At 53.5% G+C, this 19,618-nt stretch overlaps 1 protein-coding gene across 12 annotated transcripts in view, besides 2 other annotated features; it reads left to right on the top strand.

The window, feature by feature from the left end:
• The window catches only part of SLC6A12 (solute carrier family 6 member 12), a 30,310-nt gene extending 10,927 nt beyond the window's left edge, over window positions 1-19,383 (top strand). For 7 of the 12 annotated variants that reach the window (NM_001206931.2, NM_001122848.3, NM_001122847.3 and 4 more), the window contains 12 exons: window positions 351-491; window positions 1,382-1,469; window positions 2,448-2,580; window positions 4,300-4,434; window positions 5,228-5,331; window positions 5,730-5,854; window positions 6,349-6,461; window positions 6,970-7,107; window positions 7,904-8,006; window positions 9,854-9,954; window positions 10,583-10,753; window positions 12,020-13,150. In NM_001206931.2, the coding sequence (NP_001193860.1) occupies window positions 351-491; window positions 1,382-1,469; window positions 2,448-2,580; window positions 4,300-4,434; window positions 5,228-5,331; window positions 5,730-5,854; window positions 6,349-6,461; window positions 6,970-7,107; window positions 7,904-8,006; window positions 9,854-9,954; window positions 10,583-10,753; window positions 12,020-12,163 (1,496 nt within the window). In that variant the 3' untranslated portion in view covers window positions 12,164-13,150. Of the gene's footprint in view, window positions 1-350; window positions 492-1,381; window positions 1,470-2,447; window positions 2,581-4,299; window positions 4,435-5,227; window positions 5,332-5,729; window positions 5,855-6,348; window positions 6,462-6,969; window positions 7,108-7,903; window positions 8,007-9,853; window positions 9,955-10,582; window positions 10,754-11,345; window positions 13,151-15,728 lie in introns of those variants that run through there. The other 5 variants (XM_005253748.4, XM_047429416.1, XM_047429417.1 and 2 more) reach the window with 4 other exon arrangements.
• Window positions 13,854-14,093: a silencer, noted in NCBI's record as "silent region_4100". NCBI's record gives its function as "represses an Ori minimal core promoter by ATAC-STARR-seq in GM12878 lymphoblastoid cells {active_cell/tissue: GM12878}" and the evidence as "EXISTENCE:reporter gene assay evidence [ECO:0000049][PMID:35858748]".
• Window positions 17,788-17,978: a silencer, noted in NCBI's record as "fragment chr12:294419-294609 (GRCh37/hg19 assembly coordinates)". NCBI's record gives its function as "represses an EF-1alpha promoter that drives an FKBP-Casp9 reporter gene in an ReSE screen in HepG2 liver carcinoma cells {active_cell/tissue: HepG2}" and the evidence as "EXISTENCE:reporter gene assay evidence [ECO:0000049][PMID:32094911]".
• Window positions 19,384-19,618: the final 235 nt, after the last annotated feature.

The following is a 19,618-nucleotide window of genomic DNA, read 5'->3' as shown; positions in this document are numbered from 1 at the left end:
GTTAAAATTAGCCGGGTCTGTCTGTGGTCCCAGCTACTCCGGAGGCTGAGGTGGGAGGATCGCTTGAACCCGGGAAGTGGAGGTTCCAGTGAGCCGAGACTGTGCCACTGCACTCCAGCCTGGACAACAGAACAAGACTCCATCTCAAAAAAAAAAAAAAAAAAAAAAAAAGAAAAGAAAAAAGAAAGAAAAATATGCTATGAATGGCTTCTCATGCCACTGGATAAACCCCAATGGTGCTCTTTGTGTAGCACCCAATACCCTTGTAACCTCAACTGGCAGCTTCTATGTGACTTTTTTGCTAACATTGATCTCTCTTGTCCCTCCCCATCTCTCCCCCACTCTGGAAGGCATTGGTCTGGCATCTGTGGTCATCGAGTCATATTTGAATGTCTACTACATCATCATCCTTGCCTGGGCTCTCTTCTACCTGTTCAGCTCCTTCACTTCTGAGCTGCCCTGGACGACCTGCAACAACTTTTGGAACACAGGTATCCATCATTTCAGCCCCTGGGATGTTGCCTGTTAGGGGCTGGGCTGCGGTGGCTGGTGAATCCAAGCAACGACGGGGAGTATAAGTGTAGCAGAACCTGCCTGGCAGCCAAGCCACGTGGGCTCCTGGGCAGCTCTGCTCCTTGGCTCCTCTGAGGCCCTCAGGCCAGCCACTCGGACGAGTCAGTGTGGTTGGGAGAACCCAGAGGGACTGTATTAAATGACTGCAAGGGTTATTGCCACTTACTCATTTGTGCGCTTAACAAGCACTTACTGGACACCTACTGTGTGTTAAACACGGTGCCAAGGGCTGGAGATTGGTACGAGGCTGAGCAAAAGCAGCAGGGACCCAGCCTTCACTGTGTTTACAGTCTGGTGGTAAGAACAGACAAATAAACACAACCACTACAAATTGTGATAGGTGAACGAAACTGCAGAAACCATAGAACAAGGGGAGGGAGAAGTGTCATCTGAGGCCTGAAGTGAGAGAGAGCCCAGCATGGGGGCAGCATTCCAAGCAGGGGGAAGAGCAGGTGCAGGGCCGCAGTCCCTTGGCCTGCCAAGTGGAGAGACAGGAAGTCAGAACGGGCAAGCGGGGAGAGTGCATTCCGTACCAGCCGCCCATGAGGGGACTGAGTAGATCTGAAGTCTGGATACTGTCTGAGGTTGGCAGGGCAGCCAGGTGAGCAGGCAGATTCACAGGGAACAAGAGCAGGGGGAGGAAGAGCTGGCCCTATGAGCCTCCTGATGCCCTGGAGAGTGGGGGCTCCAAAAGAAGCTCTTGGGGCTAGGAGTGGTGAGGACCACTAGGCTGCAAGGCCAGAGGGCCAGGGGGACTAGGGTATAAGAGCATCTCTCTCCATCTTGTCCCTAACCTTGTCCCCAACAGAGCATTGCACGGACTTTCTGAACCACTCAGGAGCCGGCACAGTGACCCCATTTGAGAATTTTACCTCACCTGTCATGGAATTCTGGGAGTAGGTGCTGGGCCCATTTGCCACATATGAAGAGGAAATTTGGATGTCTGAGCTGTGCAAGTCTGAATGTCTGGGGTGCAAGTTTAAGATTCTGTGTGTGCTTTCCAGCACTTCCTCCCCCGCCCCACTCCAACCCCACACATCACTGAGGCAGGGGAGAACGCTCTCACATCTACCCACACGGGTCCACGGAGACTCACATTTATCCGTCATGTCCACCTTCAGCCCCACATCCCTACCTCCATGCGTGTGTCTGCCCACACATGTCCAGTGGGGTGCTGGACAGAGTCTTCACAGCTTTAGGGGAGCTGAGTGTGCATGTCTCTTCCCACTGCCATGCTCGGTGGTGTCATGCCAGTAGCTTGAAATTGCCCAAGGCGGGAGTGCTCACATCAAGACATGGGCACACCCTCCACTCACACACTCACCCTCTCACCTGACAACGTACCCCTTCACATTACGTGTGCCCACACTCGTCCACCTGCATTCCCACGCAAGACTGCCTGTACTCTCTCACACTGAGCTAACCCCCACGTAGGCACCAATGCCCTCACACCTGAATGCCCTCACAGTACTGGACCCTCACACCCATGCATGCAGTTCCAGCACCCCATCACATGTTTAGAAACTAACACACTCAGCCCCTGCACGGGATACCCATGCACTTGCCCATCAACCTGCATGTATAAATATCTACTCTCTAAACGCTCATTTATACATTCCTCATCTCTCTCTCTCTCCATCTTTCTGTACGAGAAAAAAAATCTGGATGAGTTAGAAAGATAAAGATATGCATAGGATGATGGTAGTAGTTTGGTCTACGGGAACATGGCCTGACTGTGGGGGAGGTGGGGAGTGGGGGAAGCCCTGGAATATGAGATCCGTGGGGTCAGCTCTGAGAATCAGGAGACTTGCTGACAGACGCAAACTGTCCCCTTTAGCCTTTCCCCTCATTACTTATTTTTCCCAATCCTCCAGGAGACGAGTTCTGGGCATCACCTCGGGCATCCATGACCTGGGCTCCCTGCGCTGGGAGCTGGCCCTGTGCCTCCTGCTCGCCTGGGTCATCTGCTATTTCTGCATCTGGAAGGGGGTCAAGTCCACAGGCAAGGTGAGATGTCCTGCCTCCTGGGAAGCTCCCTTTGGCCCCCAGAGTCTACGGGGACACTTGAGGGGGACCCTCTGGAGAACTGATTTCTTTCTATTAAGAAACTACACTTCCTGAGCAGGGCAGGGGAGATGCCTAGTGAGAACAGGGGGAGCCACAGGAAGGCGGAGCTTAGCTCGATGCAAGGAAAGTCTTTCTTTTTCAATATGACTTTAAAAGTCCGGTTTACATAAGAATATTCAGGGCTGCCGGGTGCAGTGGCTCACGCCTGTAATCCCAGCACTTTGGGAGGCCGAGGCTGGCGGATCACGAGGTCAGGAGATCGAGACCATCCTGGCTAACACGGTAAAACCCCGTCTCTACTAAAAATACAAAAAATTAGCCGGGCGTGGTGGTGGGCACCTGTAGTCCCAGCTATGCAGGAGGCTGAGGCAGGAGAATGGCGTGAACCCGGGAGGCGGAGCTTGCAGTGAGCCGAGATAGCGCCACTGCACTCCAGCCTGGGCGACAGCCAGACTCCGTCTCAAAAAAAAAAAAAAAAAAAAAAGAATATTCAGGGCAAATTAGAAACAGAAAAATCTCATTGTTGGAGCTAATCCCTGCTGGCAGGTTGGCACTGCTAATCTCTGTTCATTTTTGCTGTGTTGCCTTCTGGTTTCTCTCATACGTATGTGTGTGTGTCTGTATCCATTATGTGTGGCTATGACATCATTAGGATCACACGCTCTTATGACTCACTTGTTGTTGTATTTAACAACATAGCAAGATAATTTTGAGTTTGAATTAGCAAACAGAACTGTCTTTGAGGTGGCGAGTTTCCAGTCATTGAAGGGGTTCCCACCAAGAATGGGCAACAATGGGCTTGTCACATAGACAGAATTCAGATTTGAGCATTATTTCCAACCCAGAGAGCCGGAGACTGTGCTTCATGCCTTTTTAAAGCCAGGAGTGGTCAGTAAACGGACTTCTCTGCTTGGCCATACACTGAGTCTGTTCCCGCAGCAGCCTTTCCCCTCCCTGAATTGTAACAAGTTGGTAATAGGGATGATGAAAGTGATCATCGTAGTAATAACAGCACAGACAGTACCACTGCCGCCGCCCAGGGAAGGAGCTGAGTTTGCTTAGTGGCAGAGAAGAACAGCCCGGAGCTCCGGCCGCCGCTGCTCCCCCAACCATTAGCCTGCAAAAGCACAGCCTAACTTTCCCCACAGATCACTGTGCAAATCTGGTCACTATTCCCCTGGGTCGCCAGGGGGCAAGGAGAGAACAGCCAGGATAAAGGATTAAGAAAGACCAGATTCTGGACTTTAAATTAGTCTTTGCCCTGATTTGATCATTACACATTATATACACATATGGAAATACCACTCTTTTTCATAAATATGTACAGATTATGCACATACGTACATGTTGACTAAAAATAAGAGGAAAAAAATGGTCTTGGACAGGTTATGGGCTGGAAGCCTGTACCCTGCCTCCCTCCCTGTCTTCCTCCTCCCCTCCCCACCCTCCCCCTGCTGATGTGTATCTCACACCCTGGGGGGAGCACAGACCCACTGGAATGTGTAAAGGGAGGTGTGGAAACTTTCTTGTGCTTAGCCCCTCTAGGCTGTCTCTGAGGTTGGGACTGAGCTCCGTGTGACTCGAGCTGCCTGTGGGGCGTGGCTGGAGGGCCACTGCGTCCCCACCAGGAGTGACCTTGGCCTGTCCCCCCACCTCCAGGTGGTTTATTTCACAGCCACGTTTCCGTACCTGATGCTTGTCATTTTGCTGATCAGAGGTGTCACCCTTCCCGGAGCCTACCAGGGCATCATCTACTACTTGAAGCCAGATTTGTTCCGCCTCAAGGACCCTCAGGTATGTACCGTGCTGGGACCACTTCCCCAGGTGCCTTCCCCACCCAGCCAGGTCTGTAGTTTTGAAAGTCTTGTATAGCTTTTTCCTTGGTTTAAAAGCAATAAATGCCCACTGGAGATAAATTAGAAAATATGGAAGAAAGCTATAAAAAAGAAACTAAAAAAATCTCTTGTAATTCCACCACTCAAATATAACTTTTTTTCTTAAAAAATTTTTTTTCTCTTACTTAGAGACAGGCAGGGTCTGGCTCTGTCCCCCAGGCTGGAGTGCAGTGGTGCCATCATAGCTCACTGCAGCCTCAACCTCTTGGGCTCAAGGCATTCTCTCGCCTCAGCCTCCTGAGCAGCTGGGACTGCAGGCATGAGCCATGGTTCCTGGGCATTTTCTCTTGATATTTTGATGAAGCAGCCTCTTTGTCCCCAGGTCATAGCTGCTTAAGACACTATGTACAGAGATCTTAGTTGAATGAGACAAGTGACTTCTGGCTGTGCCCTGCAGATAGGCCTTGGGTGCAGCCATGGTTTGTAGATTCCCCTGGAGAAATCCAAGCAACACACATGTATTTGGTACTCACTAAGTGCCTACAGAACCAAACCGAAACTGGGCCGCACTGGGGAGGAGATCACCGTGGAGACCGGAGGGCGCACTCACGGAGAGTTGGGATGCAGGAGGGAAGCGCTCAGGGAGCACTGAGGGGCCAGGCTGGTGCTGCAGGGGACGGGTCTGGATCTCGGGTCACCCTGGCTCTGGGCCCTGGGGGCTGCCTCTACCTCTTTCTTGGGGTTTTGTGTAGGTGTGGATGGATGCGGGCACCCAGATCTTCTTCTCCTTTGCCATCTGCCAGGGGTGCCTGACAGCCCTGGGCAGCTACAACAAGTATCACAACAACTGCTACAAGTGAGAACAGCGTGGGCCGGGGTGGGGTGAAGGAGGGTTGGGGCCTGGGGATGGGTTCTGGGCAAAGACCCATAGTCTCTGGGCCCAGACCTTCCTTATTCATTATACGTTGTATCAGACTGAACTTATGGGTTCCTTTCCCAGACTAAATGTCTTCCTTCTTCCTTTTCTCTCTCACTTCTCTCTTTGTTGTCTGCCACCTGATTTTTGTCTTTTTCTTCTACTGTCTTCTTCCCATGCTCTCTTCCCTTCCTCCCCTCCTCTGTGCCTCCCTTGCCTCCCCCTTCTCTCTCCTTGGTCCCCTCTCACTGTCTTTTGACCTCTCCTCCCATGACTGATCTCTCTCTCTTCCTCTCTTTTCCTCCCCGTTCCTGTCTGCCCTTGCCCCACTCCCACAGGGACTGCATCGCCCTCTGCTTCCTGAACAGTGCCACCAGCTTTGTGGCTGGGTTTGTTGTCTTCTCCATCCTGGGCTTCATGTCCCAAGAGCAAGGGGTGCCCATTTCTGAAGTGGCCGAGTCAGGTAGGTGCCACTTTGCTGTCTGGGGCCTGAGGGGAAGGAGAGTCAGAGAACACACTTCTCTCTTGCTGAAAGGCATGAGTCCCAGAAGATGGGCAATATGATTTATTTATGGGTAGTAGGTTTTAATTTTAGCATCTGGGGCAGCGCTTAGCACAAAGCAGGGCTTCCATGGATGGATGAATGGATGGATGGATGGATGGATGGATGGATGGATGGATGGATGGATGGATGGATGGATGGATGGATGGATGGATGGATGGATGGATGGATGGATGGATGGATGGATGGATGGATGGATGGATGGGTAGATGGATGGATGGATGGATGAATGGTATGCTTCCCAGGCCTGGAAAGAGAAGAACAGTGGATGGAATCACCCTTTCCTCTTAAAGTGTGTGCACAGGTACACACACACACAGTGCTTAGAGAGACGCCTCTTCCCCAAGGGCAGCACACGCCCTGGAGCCTCCCTGACTGTGCTGTGTACCTGGCAGGTCCTGGGCTGGCCTTCATCGCCTTCCCCAAGGCTGTGACTATGATGCCCTTATCCCAGCTGTGGTCCTGCCTGTTCTTTATCATGCTCATATTCCTAGGGCTGGACAGCCAGGTACGTCACTGCAGCCCAGCCTGCCCTGCCGTGGTGACCCTCTTGCAAGCCTTTGCTTGTCCTGGGACTACTTTCCCCTCACTCCCACTCCCCTGACCACACACCTGAGGCCCCCTCTGCTGTCCAGGGCTTTTCCTTGGGGTTGGGGGTGTGGCCTGGAGACCCTCTGGGGTGAAGGGGCCACTGGCTTTGTGCTCCCAGCCTTGAGCCTCTGCATGCATGGATGTTTCCTCCCAGATGTTCCTTCAGCTCGAGCTGCCCAGCCCCAGCCCCTGAGCCTCGGGGACAGAACATACCCCCCTCTAACCCTCACTGCTGAGACTCTTTGTCATGGAGTTGTAGTTAAGGGCAGGGTTGGCTCACCCCAGGGCACCCCCATTTCTTCCCTTTGTGCTGCTCCCTGCACCCCTGTGCATCAGTGTGGATGAGCCAGGGGAAGTGGAGGCCAGGGCTGGTGGCCAACAGCCCGCCCCACACCCTCTCATCCAGTTCCCCTCCTGGCCCACAGTTTGTCTGTGTGGAGTGCCTGGTGACAGCCTCCATAGACATGTTCCCCAGGCAGCTCCGGAAGAGCGGGCGGCGCGAGCTCCTCATCCTCACCATCGCCGTCATGTGCTACCTGATAGGGCTTTTCCTGGTCACCGAGGTGAGCTGCGGCCGCCGGCCTGCAGGCCAGGCTCCAGGGGAGGGAGCCACGGGGGACACTGCTGACCCTGCTCAGAGCCTCACTTTTCTTATCTGCTGACGAGGGGTGTGAACGCCTGCCCTGCCTCTCCACAGTGAGGTTGTAGGGACCACACAACATGCATTTGTGAGGTCTCTTTTGGTTGCAGGTGACCAATACAGCTGGCTTAAGCAGAAAGGGGAATGTATTGGGTCAGGTTGCTGAAAACCCTAGGATATCTGGGTTTCGGTGTGGTTGGATCCAGCTGCTCTTGTGGCACTCTCAGGAAGGCTCCTCGGTCTCCTGTGACTTCACTCAGAGGCGGGTTTTCCTCCTGTGACATTAGGGATGGATGCTGGGCTTCAGGCTTACCTGTTACTGTCAGCCAACCCAGGAGGAAAGAGAGGGCCCTTTTCCTGAGAGTGTGGCAAATGTCCAGGCTATGACTCTTATTCAAGCCTGGAGTAGAGAGAGAGGGATACCCCAGTCTAAAAGGAACAAAGAATGAGGGGGTGTCACTTTCCAGAAGGGGAGATGCTGGGCAGACGAGATGATGTGTGTCCACCACAGTCTCCCAGTGCCAGAGGTTATTGTCCTGATGTTGACTGGGGGGCCTGAAGGCAGGGGCAGACAGGGCAAACTCCTTTGAGATGCAAGGAATGGCATCCCACAGGCCGGGCAGGAGTGCACCCCACGTGGGCATTTGCCATCTCACTGAGGGCTGGAGTGTGTCCCAGCTCTGCACTGGCCATGCCCCAGCTCCACGCTCTCCCCACAGGGCGGGATGTACATCTTCCAGCTGTTTGACTACTATGCTTCCAGTGGCATATGCCTGCTGTTCCTGTCATTGTTTGAAGTGGTCTGCATAAGCTGGGTGTATGGTGAGTGGGGTGGAGTGGGGTGGGAAAGCAGGGTGGGAGAAAGACCGTCTAGCCAGCCAGGGGCAGGCTTTGCCTGGGGGAGGCCGTTCTCTGGTCCCCTGGTTTCTGTGTGTCTTTGCGCTGTTGCCCTGCTTCTTCTTACTGGGAAATTTACCCGTGGCTGGGAAGCCTGGCATTTTCATGGCAGCAAGCAGAGCTGTAATGATGACAAAATGGATTTCCTTCAACAGTGAGAGAATGATCAATAACAGTGCACAGCGCACAGTGTCCTCGATATGGAGGTGGCCTGAGGCCCTGTGCCACTGGGAATCTTAGTCAGAAGGGACGTTTATTGCCACTTAGCCCGATCCTCCGCAAACTCCCACACTGCCTTTCCAACAACGAGGCGATCACCCAGACTCTGAGTACTTCCATGGACAGGGAGCTCATTCCTGTGTTTTTGAGGGAGTCTTTTCCATTTATGCATTTCTCTCCTGTACTGAGGTGAATTCTGCCTTTCACTGACTTCCGCCAGCAGCCTGGCCCCCTCAGACTGAGATAGCTACCATACTGAATGCTGCAACAGCCAGGGGGTGACCATGTCCTACACCAGGAAGGGGAAGAAGCCCGATTCACTGAGCCAATGCATGACTGCGTGCCAGGCTGGTTGGTCTCACACACTTACAATCTGTGCAGGGGGAGAGTGAGGCTCAGAGGGGTTCAGTCTCTTGCCTAAGCTCACGTAGCAAGCGGAGAAGCCGTCCTCATACCCCAGGTCCCTCTGACTCCACTGCACCGCTTGGGGGAACCCAGTGCCAATGTCACAAGGTTCAGGGCAGAGGGCCAGTGGGTGCCACACAGTAGGGCCTCAGGAACAGCCATGAGTAGAAAAGACTTTATTTTGCTGCCCTAAGCCTTCCCACTTGTGTCCTTTCCTCTCCATGGAGACGTTCCTTCCTTCTCACCTCAGGCATCTGATGCCTTCCGAATTTCCCCAACTCCTTTTCAAAACTTCTCAGAGAGGACCTGCTAAACTTGGTCACAACAGGTGTGAATGGCTGATAAGCCTCAACATGCTTCACTCACCTGGCCATATCTGGCTTTTAACTTTGGCTTTTCACAGTCAAAGGAACCACTCTTTAATGGTGTGATTTCATGCATCAGGGATCGGTGGGAAGGTATTTTGGGTGGGAAGGTAGAGAGGCCCTCCAAGTATCTTTACCATTCAGTGATTCTTTGCTTCTTAGAAGACTGGCTCTGCCTAGAACTACAGCAAATGTGGAAACTGCAGGAGTGAAACAACAAAAAATACAGCCAGTCAATGTTTTCACTAAACACAAATTAACCTTCTTACCATGCTTTTTTGGGAACTCAGAGGTGGTTCCTCTGGAGTCTGCAATCTAGACCACCGTTCTGTTCCCAGTAGCCCTCTAGCCCTCTATGAGTTTTCTATGATGTGTCTGAACAGCGGGAGCCTTGTTGTTTTGCTGTTTTGGCTTGAACCAAATTCATCTCTGCTACCCGGGTAAACAGGCGTTTGTCTAACCATTGAGCCCCATTTTGGGCTCACACCACTCCTTTGTGGTTAGACCAGTGGGGTCTCCATCACAAGACAGGGAGGCAAGAGACAGCACTGACAAGAGATGGCAGCAGCAGTGTGTGGGGGCAGCCCCTGCCTCGTGACTCGAATGCATCTCATGCAGGGATACAGGGTGTCAGGGAGGCGTCTCACTCACGTGCCCTGTTCCAGTTTCCCTGCACAGGGCGGGGGTGAGGGAAGGGCACAGAGCCAAGTGGGTCTTTCCCAAACACCGGGAAGCTGTTCTCACCCTCTGGCTCTCACACTCTCCCACGCCATGCCTGCTCAGGGGCGGACCGTTTCTATGACAACATTGAGGACATGATTGGCTACCGGCCATGGCCCCTGGTGAAGATCTCCTGGCTCTTCCTGACCCCTGGACTTTGCCTGGTATGTGCCCACCAGCTGCCCCTCTATTCCTTCCTGCCCCCAGAAGACTCCAGAGATGAGGGAAAGGACGGCTGACATGCAGGGCTCTTTCCCCACCTGTCCAGTCTCCCGTGGGGCCTGGTCCATTTCCTGTTCTATGTTGCCTTCCCTGCTCTTCTTTCTGGGGCCATCTCATCCACCCATAAGTAGAATCTTGTTCTACTTCCTACTTCCGGCTCCATCCCTTCCTCACAGTGCCTCCTGCTTCTGCCTGATTTCTCGATGGTTGGTCTCCTGTCTGTCTGAGCTTCTCTTCTGAGCCCTTCCCTTCCTTTGTATCACCCCCTGTCTCCGTCTGTGATGTGAATGATGCTCTTCCGAGCCCCTCCCTTCCTTTGTATCGCCTCCTGTCTCCGTCTGTGATGTGAATGATGCTCTTCCGAGCCCCTCCCTTCCTTTGTATCGCCTCCTGTCTCCGTCTGTGATGTGAATGATGCCTTGGCCTGGGATTTGCAGGGGCTTTTACTCTTCCACCTTACAGACGTGCTGCAGTGCACCTGACTTGTCCTCTGTCCTTGGCTGTACGTAGCTGCGGAGAGGGTTTCAGTCGCCCCCTATCTTACCCATGGCTGCCCCTTCCTTCTCCCAGGCCACTTTCCTCTTCTCCTTGAGCAAGTACACCCCCCTCAAGTACAACAACGTCTATGTGTACCCGCCCTGGGGATACTCCATTGGCTGGTTCCTGGCTCTGTCCTCCATGGTCTGTGTCCCACTCTTCGTCGTCATCACCCTCCTGAAGACTCGGGGTCCTTTCAGGAAGGTAGGTGGTGTAGGGGAGAGTGACCTCTTAAAGGAGGGCACTGAGAGAGGCTGGACTTGGGGCAGGACACACAACTGGGGCCAGGGAGCAGACACAAACTCTGAGTGTGGGGCAGCCCTTCAGTCTCACAGAATCTTAACGAGACGAACTTTGAAGACCAGTCCAGTGGCTTTTCAGAAATGCTCTGAAAAGTCCTAGAGTCCTAGACCTACAGACTCTGACCTCCCATGGATGATCTGGGCAGGCTAACGGAGGGCAAACTGCTGAAAGGTTCAGGAGAAAACTAAGTCACAAACATGAACAGGAAGGTGCCCAGACACAGAAGGTTTACAAGACTATAGATTCCTTGCCCTCGGAAAACTGATAACCAGCAAGCACAGTTCACTCCACACACAGGCTCCTGGCTTCTTTTCTTAACTCTGCCTGGGGACACACGCAAGAGGCTCCCTGTCTAGAGTTTGGGACATATCCTCCTGGAAGGAGCTATAGCCAATGACCCACAAAGGTAGAAATCTATCTTGCCTATAAATAATAGAAAACCCAACCTCCAACAGTTTCAGCAAATAGGCTTGTTTGTTTTTTATGTTTCAAGAAGGTCAGAGATTAGGGCTGCTGGTATTTGGTTTGGCTGCTTAAAGAGGCCCTTAGGGACCAGACTTTTCCTGCATTTCTACACTTCCATCCTGGGCATGCTGTGTTTTCATCATCACGTTTATCACCTCATGGTCACAAGATGGCTGTCACGATTCCAGTCATCACATCTGCATTCAAGGCAAGAAGGAGGGAGCAGATGGCACCACCACCACCACCACCAACAGTCGTAGCAGTACCACTGATAAGAAGAAAAATAATAGATACTTATTGAGCACATAATAATAGTAATAACAATAATGACAATAACAAAAATAGATATTTATTGATCACTTACTCTGTGCCAAGCACTGTTCTGTGAGGTGCATTCTACTATTATTCTCAATTTACAGGTAAGAAAATTGAGGGGGATTAACAGAGGGGTTAAGTGAGCAGCCTTAGGTGGCGCAGGTCGGCAGCAGAGCCAGGACTGGAACCCAGGCAGCGCACACTCATTCGTAGTCACGGTATTGCTGCCTCCCTTCTCACCTCAAACGGTTCATTCATTGACTCACTCATACTGTGCGGTGCTGGCCATGTGCTCCGCTCTGGGCTGGGCCCTGGGGTTGCACACATGAGGAACCTTCTGCGCCTCCCTCACCATCAGCTCCAAATCCCTGCCTCTTCTCTCCACAGCGTCTGCGTCAGCTCATCACCCCTGACTCCAGTCTGCCACAGCCCAAGCAACATCCCTGCTTGGATGGCAGTGCTGGCCGGAACTTTGGGCCCTCCCCAACAAGGGAAGGACTGATAGCCGGGGAGAAGGAGACCCATTTGTAGGGTGTGGCCAGAGGCCAGGCGGCTCCTAAGCCGGGAACCTAGGTCAGGGCCACCCTCCATTCTCAGCGGACAGCCTCTGCCTCTGTCTCCTGCCACAATCCTGCTGGGAACCTCTGGAGAGCCACAGGCACCCCCAGCTGGAGGCCAGACTCCTCTCTTGTGCTAGCTGGAGCAGCTCCTTCCCCTTTGCTGATAACACCACCACTGGGACGTGCCATGTTGGGACGCCACTCCCTGTGGGAAGGCACCATCGTTTTTATAAAGGGGGGTCTTTTTGGAGGCCGCCATCTGATTGCAACACCTCGAGTTATGAGGATTCCACTGTGGGGATGCCTCTTGTTAGAGCGTACTGCATTTGTACACGGGGAGAGGAGCTATAATTGGAACGCACACTGCCGTCCAATGTGGAGAGCCTGATGGGACAATACCCTGTTGGAAGTGACAACTGAACACACTGTGTTGGATCGGAGGTTCCGTTAGGGGATCCTTCCTTAGGCTTAACGACAGAGGCAAGCCTTTGCATGCCGTCAGTCTGGAGTTTCCTCCGAGTCTCTCATGGCATCTCCAGCTCCTGCCCTAGTTCCGCACTGTTCTTGCAGTGTTTCATCAACTCCTGGAGCATTGGAATGGAAGGGGCTTGGGAGATGATTCCTAGACTTCACAAACACTCGGCATGCCTCCCTGCACTGTCCGTTCCTCTGCCCAAGGCCGATATTGCTAACTGATCACAGATTCTTTCCCACCTCACAATCCTTCCGAATGTGCTCCAGGCAGCACCATTTGCCATCCTGCTTCTAACGCAAACCCCTGACTTCATGGATGAGGAACCTGGAGACCAAAGAGACAAAGGGACTTTTTCAAGTTCACATGGGGACCCCCTTCTTGGGGGCCAGAGATATGACTAAAACCTTATCTCCTTGTGCTCAGGCCAGTGTCTTCCCATTAACCCCCTGCCTTAGTTAACAAGTGTGTATGGATTGCCTTCCATGCGTGCTGGTCTCCTTTGCCTTGCTCCGTTTCTGTTGAGCTATGCCGCTTGGGGTGGGGGAAGAGAGGACCCCTCTGTTGGAGGTGGTGAGGAGCTCCCCAGACTAGCGCCCCCGCCTTGGTAATTTCTCCATCAGCCCATCATCACCTGGCCCGATGTCCTCCCAGATCCTTTTGTTCTTGTCCTTGCCACCTCTTATTCCCCCACGGAATGCACGGAGTCTGTGAGAGTGTCCCAGGGGGCGGGTGTGGGGGTGCCCTCCTTAGCTGCCACACATGGCTCCACCCGTTTCCCACCCACTCCTCTTCCCACACCCCTACCGAGTCCCACATGCCTCTTCTGTGGCTGGAAGGCTTCCTGGAGGAGGAGGCAGGGTTTGGATAAGGTCTGTGCTGTTGTGTTCAGAAGGGAAGGGAGGAGAGGGACTGGGGCTGGGGAGGGAATTTCAGGGCAGTTTCCTGGGTCAAGGGAAGCCAGCCAGGATGAGGGGGGTGATTCGTATATAGATGTCACCTGGACCCCCCGCCCAGGGGCTGCAGGAGAAATCAGGTCAGGCTGGGGTGAGTTCCGTCCTCGACAGGCCTATGCCACCTCAGGTACTCTTAGCTTCTGACCGCCCCCCTTGTCTCCCTCTGGACTGCTCTGTGCACCTGTGCCCTCGCTCCTTGGACCGGCTAGTGGGGAGAGAAGGAGGCCCAGGGGAAAGAGAAGGAGAGCAACGGCTTCAGCCAGATGCTCTCAGTTACGAGGCCGGGTCTGGCGGAAAACGAAAAACGCGAGGCCGGCGCAGCGCTGTCTGCGGCCGCCGGGTGGCAGAGGGGAGTAGCGCCGCGTCCCCGCCGCCCTCCCCCGGGGCCCCTAGCACGCGGGCGCGCGCCTCAGCCGGCCCCTGCCCGCAGCTAGTCCAGTACTTCCCGCCGCCTTCTCCCCGCCTGCAAACGCCGCGGCACCCGTCGGTGCTGCACCCTGGAGGGCACGCTTTGGGTCGGGCTCCCAAGCCTCGCTCTCTGCGGACCGCACAGCCCTCTTTCAGATTCCTTCGCCCTGCACCAATTCGCCATCCTCTCTGCTGCCCCAGACCCCCTGGCTTTAGCGCACAGCCTGTCCCGCAAGCTCTCTGCCCTGGCTGAGAGCGTCCACAGCTCCTCCCTCCATCGCTCCCATTCTCTGGATGAGTCCAAAGGGATCTGGATGGGGGTGGGGATGGAGGGAACGGGGAGGGGGGTGCGGGAAAGGGACTTCGGGCCAACCTCACCTCTCACAGGGACCCAGCCATAATGGCTCCACAACCTGGGCAAGGAGCAACTGTTTCACTCTCCAGCCTGCCCAGAGCACCAGTACAGGTGTGTGTGTGTGCCTGTGTGTGCACATGAGTTCACGCGCCTGTGTGTGTGTGGGTGTGCATACGACGTGCGTGCGTAAGGAGCAGCTGTGGGGTCGTGATTTGGGTTTGCTTTTGAGAGGTGACAGCGTGCCCCCAGCCCTCACAGCCCTCGCTCGCTCTCGGCGCCCACTCTGGCTGCGCTTGAGGAGCCCTTCAGCCCCCCGCTGCACTGTGGGAGCCCCTTTCTGGGCTGGCCAAGGCCGGAGCCGGCTCCCTCAGCTTGCAGAGAGGTGTGGAGGGAGAGGCGCTGGCGGGAAGCGGGGCTGCGCGCGGCGCTTGCGGGCCAGCGCGAGTTCCGGGTGGGCGTGGGCTCGGCGGGCCCCACAATCGGAGCGGCCTGCCGGCCCCGCCGGCCCGGGGCAGTGAGGGGCTTAGCACCTGGGCCAGCAGCTGCTGTGCTCAATTTCTCGCTGGGCCTTAGCTGCCTTCCCGTGGGGCAGGGCTCGGAACCTGCAGCTCGCCATGCCTGAGCCTCCCTCCCCCTCCATGGGCTCCTGTGCGGCCCGAGCCTCCCCGACCAGCGCCGCCCCCTGCTCCAGGGCACCCAGTCCCATCGACCACCCAAGGGCTGAGAAGTGCGGGCGCACGGAACCGGACTGGGAGGCAGCTCCACCTGTGGCCCCAGTGAGGGATCCACTGGGTGAAGCCAGCTGGGCTCCTGAGTCTGGTGGGGACTAGGAGAACCTTTATGTCTAGCTCAGGGATTGTAAATACACCAATCGGCACTCTGTATCTAGCTCAAGGTTTGTAAACACACCAATCAGCACCCTGTGTCTAGCTCAGGGTTTGTGAATGCACCAATCCACACTCTGTATCTAGCTTCTCTGGTGGGGACTTGGAGAACCTTTGTGTCTAGCTCAGGCGTTGTAAACACACCAATCAAAACCCTGTCAAAACGGACCAATCAGCGCTCTGTAAAATGGACCAATCGGCTCTCTGTAAAATGGACCAATCAGCAGGATGTGGGTGGGGCCAGGTAAGAGAATAAAAGCAGGCTGCCGGAGGCCCTAGTGGTAACCCGCTGGGGTCGCGTTGTGTGCAGTGGGTGCTGTGTGTGTGGTTTGTTTTTTTTTTTTTTTTTTTTTTTTTTTTTTTTTTTTTTTTTTGCTCTTTTGCAGTAAATCTTGCTGCTGCTCACTGTTTGGGTCTACTCTGCCTTTATGAGGTGTAACACTCATTGGGAAAATCTGCAGGTTTACTTCTGAAACCAGCGAGACCACTGAACCATCGGGAGGAAAAAAAAACTCCAGACGCGCCGCCTTCAGAGTTGTAGCACTCATCGCGAAGGTCCGCAGTTTCACTCCGGAGCTGGTGAGACCACGAACCTACCAGAAGGAAAAAACTCCGAACACATCTGAACGTTAGAAGGAACAAACTCCGGACACGCCGCCTTTAAGAACTGTAACCCTCACTGTGAGGGTCTGCGGCTTCATGCTTGAAGTCAGTGAGACCAAGAACCCACTTACTCTGGGCACACTTTCATCTCGTTTCCTTTGGTGTTTGAGTTGCAGACTGGTGAACAGAGGCCAAATCTGGCAGCTACAATTTGGCCAGTGTGGCATGAAAAAATTGATTTTTGCAGCAGAAGCCCTGAGGCATGCTGGAGTTTGCCACAGTCTTCCCACTTCTGTCACACCTGGTTTTCTCACATATTCGCTTTTGCGTTTGAATTCATAATCTGTGCCCTAGCGGAGAAAGTGAGAACTTTGGGCAGGGGAGGGAACAGGAGCCCTTGGGTGCGACGCAAGGGACAGCAGAGGGCAGTGGTTGGGGGTCCTGGTGCCTCAGAAGGGGTGGTGGTAGCAGGGTTACCACAGGCTCCAGCCTGCTCCGGTGTGGACCTCACACCCTATGATGCTATTCATCCATGAATCCTGGGTCAAGTCTCTCTCCCACCTGGACATTCTCCCGAAGAAGGGTAGTGGATACCTCTAATTTCAGAGCTACATCTCAATAGATGTGTTAACATCAGCAGCGCCCACGTGGCAGAGTACACCAAAGCTTAATTGTCTGGGGGGACAGTTGGCCCAATAGAGAGGCCCACGTGGAATCCAGGCCTCCCACTAATGGTCAACAGCAGCAGCTTGCTGCAAGGTGAATACACTGCGTGGAAATGTATCCTCCCAGCTGGCCAAGGCTTCTAGTGGCAGCAGCCCTGGCTGACACAGGGACTACAGCCTTACAGAGGCACTGAGCCAGAAATGCCCAGCCAAGTGGGCCCCAAATGCCTGACCCCAGTGAGAGGTGAGAAATGCATATGGTTGTTTTAAGCCGTAAGCTTTGGGGTGATTTTTTACACAGCAGTAGATAATACCTATCCTTGGATCCAATTGCTTGCAGTTCCTTCACCTGGCTGACAGCTGCTGTGGCTGCCGGTGGAAGGCCTCGGCTCCTCTCATGTGGGCTCTCTGTTGGGTCAAGTGTGCTCCTGGACAGCTGAGCTTTAGCGTGCACTGTGGCCTGTGGGTGCTGTCGTGGCCACTTCCCAGAGCGCGAGAGTCACCCTCTTTGAGAGTCAGGCGTGGCCCCTCTTCAGAGGCGTCCCTCAGCCCCCTCGTGCCCTTCTGCCTGAGCCTCCTGCCTCTCTGCCACAGCCTCACCTCCTCTGACCCCTCCAGAGCCCTCCCCTGACCCTGGGCTCACCCTGTCCTTGCTGTGAGGAGGTGAAGACTGGCTGTGTCTGTCCCTGCCACCTCCGTGCTCGCATGCCCAGCTTCCTTGCAGGTTCTGCTGCTCAGTGAAGTAACAAGGGCTGATTGGATCTAACAGGGATGAGAAGCTTGTTAACCACCCATTGATGCAGCGGCCATGGGAGGATGTGTTTGCCAGACAGGATGGGGTGAGATGAGAGCCAAGCCTGGCAGGTGGCACAGGGTTGAGGTGGGTCAGTGCCCTGGGCCCTGGCGACCCGCACTCCAGCGCTCTCTGCTTCCAGTCTGGCCACAGCAGGGGCAGATGGCCTGTCAGGTCTGAGGAACCTGCTGGCACGTGACTGGGAAGTAACGGGAGGCGAGTGCAAGTTGCCAGATGATGCCACAGACAGAGAGGGGAGCTTGCTCCCTGCCAAGGCTGAGTCCTTGCAGGCTCGTGTCCATCCACAGGGTCAGTGCATAACCTGTGGCTATAACAAGAGTCTAGCCGGAACTTCTGGTGCAGTCACATTCTGAGGCTTTTTCTGCCCAAGCACATCTCACTAACACACAGAGGGTGGCTGTCACATCCAAAAGGCCCTGGCCCCGAGGCCAGAACTCTGACACTGCACCCCAGCATGAGGGACTCGAAGTGGGCAAGTCCCTTCCCCAAGCAGGACTCAGTCCCCATCTCACTAAGACACGGGCACAGGGAGCAAGCAAAGGTAGCCAGAGTGGGTCCTGAACAAGTGCATTTGGAATTTGGGTTTGTCATGGAGAGGAGGTTCCGGGGAGCAGGACAGAGGGTAGCCATGACAGCGGGTGGGGCCGGGGGAGCGGCCTTACCCGGCCAGCTGTCCGGAGACCTGGGCTCACTGTCCAGCCTCAGCCTTTTCCTCTGGGTTAATTAAAGTTGTTGTTTTCCTCTTGGTTCTTTAGGGTGTTTTACATAGACACTCAGACTGTCTGGAAATAATGACAGTTTTATGTCTCCGATCATGATTCTTTCTCTTATCTTCCTTCACTTGGTAACTAGAAGTGGTGGCAGCTGGCATCCTTGCTTCCTTCCTGGTTTTGACAGGAACCCTAACATTTCATTAGGAAGTATGACGGCTGATGATTTTTTTTTTTTTTTGAGACAGTTTCATTCTGTCCCCCAGGCTGGAGCGCAGTGGCTTGATCTCAGCTCACTACAACCTCTGCCTCCTGGGTTCAAGTGATTCTCCTGCCTCATCCTCCCCAGTAGCTGGATTACAGGCATAAGCCACCATGCTTGGCTAATTTTTGTATTTTTATTTTTTTATTTATTTATTTTTGAGACGGAGTCTTGCTCTGTCGCCCAGGCTAGAGTGCAGTGGCGCCATCTCAGCTCATTGCAAGCTCCGCCTCCCGGGTTCACGCCATTCTCCTGCCTCAGCCTCCCGAGTAGCTGGGACTACAGGCGCCCGCCACCACGCCCGGCTAATTTTTTGTATTTTTAGTAGAGATGGGGTTTCACCGTGTTAGCCAGGATGGTCTCGATCTCCTGACCTCGTGATCCGCCCGCCTCGGCCTCCCAAAGTGCTGGGATTACAGGCATGAACCACCGAATTTTTGTGTTTTTAGTAGAGATGAGGTTTTGCCATGTTGGCCAGACTGGTCTCGAACTCCTGATCTCAAGTGATCCACCCACCTCGGCCTCCCAAAGTGCTGGGATTACAGGTGTGAGCCACCATGCCTGGCCAGCTGATGATTTTTGATAGATATCATTTACTGGGCTATGAAGTTTTCTTCCATTCCAAGTTCTATAGGTTTTTTTCAAATCAACAGTAAGGGTTGAATTTTATGGATTGCTTTTTCTGCATCTATTGAGATAATTATATTGTTTTTCTCCTTTAATTTGTTAATGTAACAAATTATTATATTTTTCTAATATTCAATCATCTGTTCATTCTTGGGGCAAACCCTACTTGGTTATGGCATATTTTTTTTTGTTATTCAGTACTAGGTTCAGTTTGCTAATATTGTGTTTAGAATTTCTGAATTTATGCCCATAAACAAGATTGGTTGGTAGTCTTCTTTTTCTCATACCGTGCTTGTCTGCTTTAGTTTTTGTTTTTGAGATTACACCAGGCTCATGAAAAGGAGTTTGGAGATGTTCTGTTTCTCTTTTCTGAAAGAGTTAATATGATATTGGAATTATCTGTTCCTTGAAGTGTAGTAGAATTTTGTAAAATCATCTGGCCGGGTGTTGTGTGTGTGATTTTTCTTGGGGGTGGGGGCTGGGCGATGGTGAATAGACTTTCCTTCTTTTTTATTTTTTTTGAGACAGAGTCTCACTCTGTCACCCAGGCTGGAGTGACATTAATTTTTTGTATTTTTGGTAGAGACGAGATTTCACGACGTTGCTCAGGCTGGTCTCGAACCCCTGAACTCAAGTGATCTGCCCACCTTGGGCTCCCAAAGTGCTGGGA

This window comes from Homo sapiens, chromosome 12 (genome assembly GCF_000001405.40).
Source record: "Homo sapiens chromosome 12, GRCh38.p14 Primary Assembly".
Taxonomy (NCBI): Eukaryota; Metazoa; Chordata; class Mammalia; order Primates; family Hominidae; genus Homo; species Homo sapiens.
Note: the sequence above shows the minus strand (reverse complement) of the source record. Positions and strands in the feature narration are given on the sequence as shown.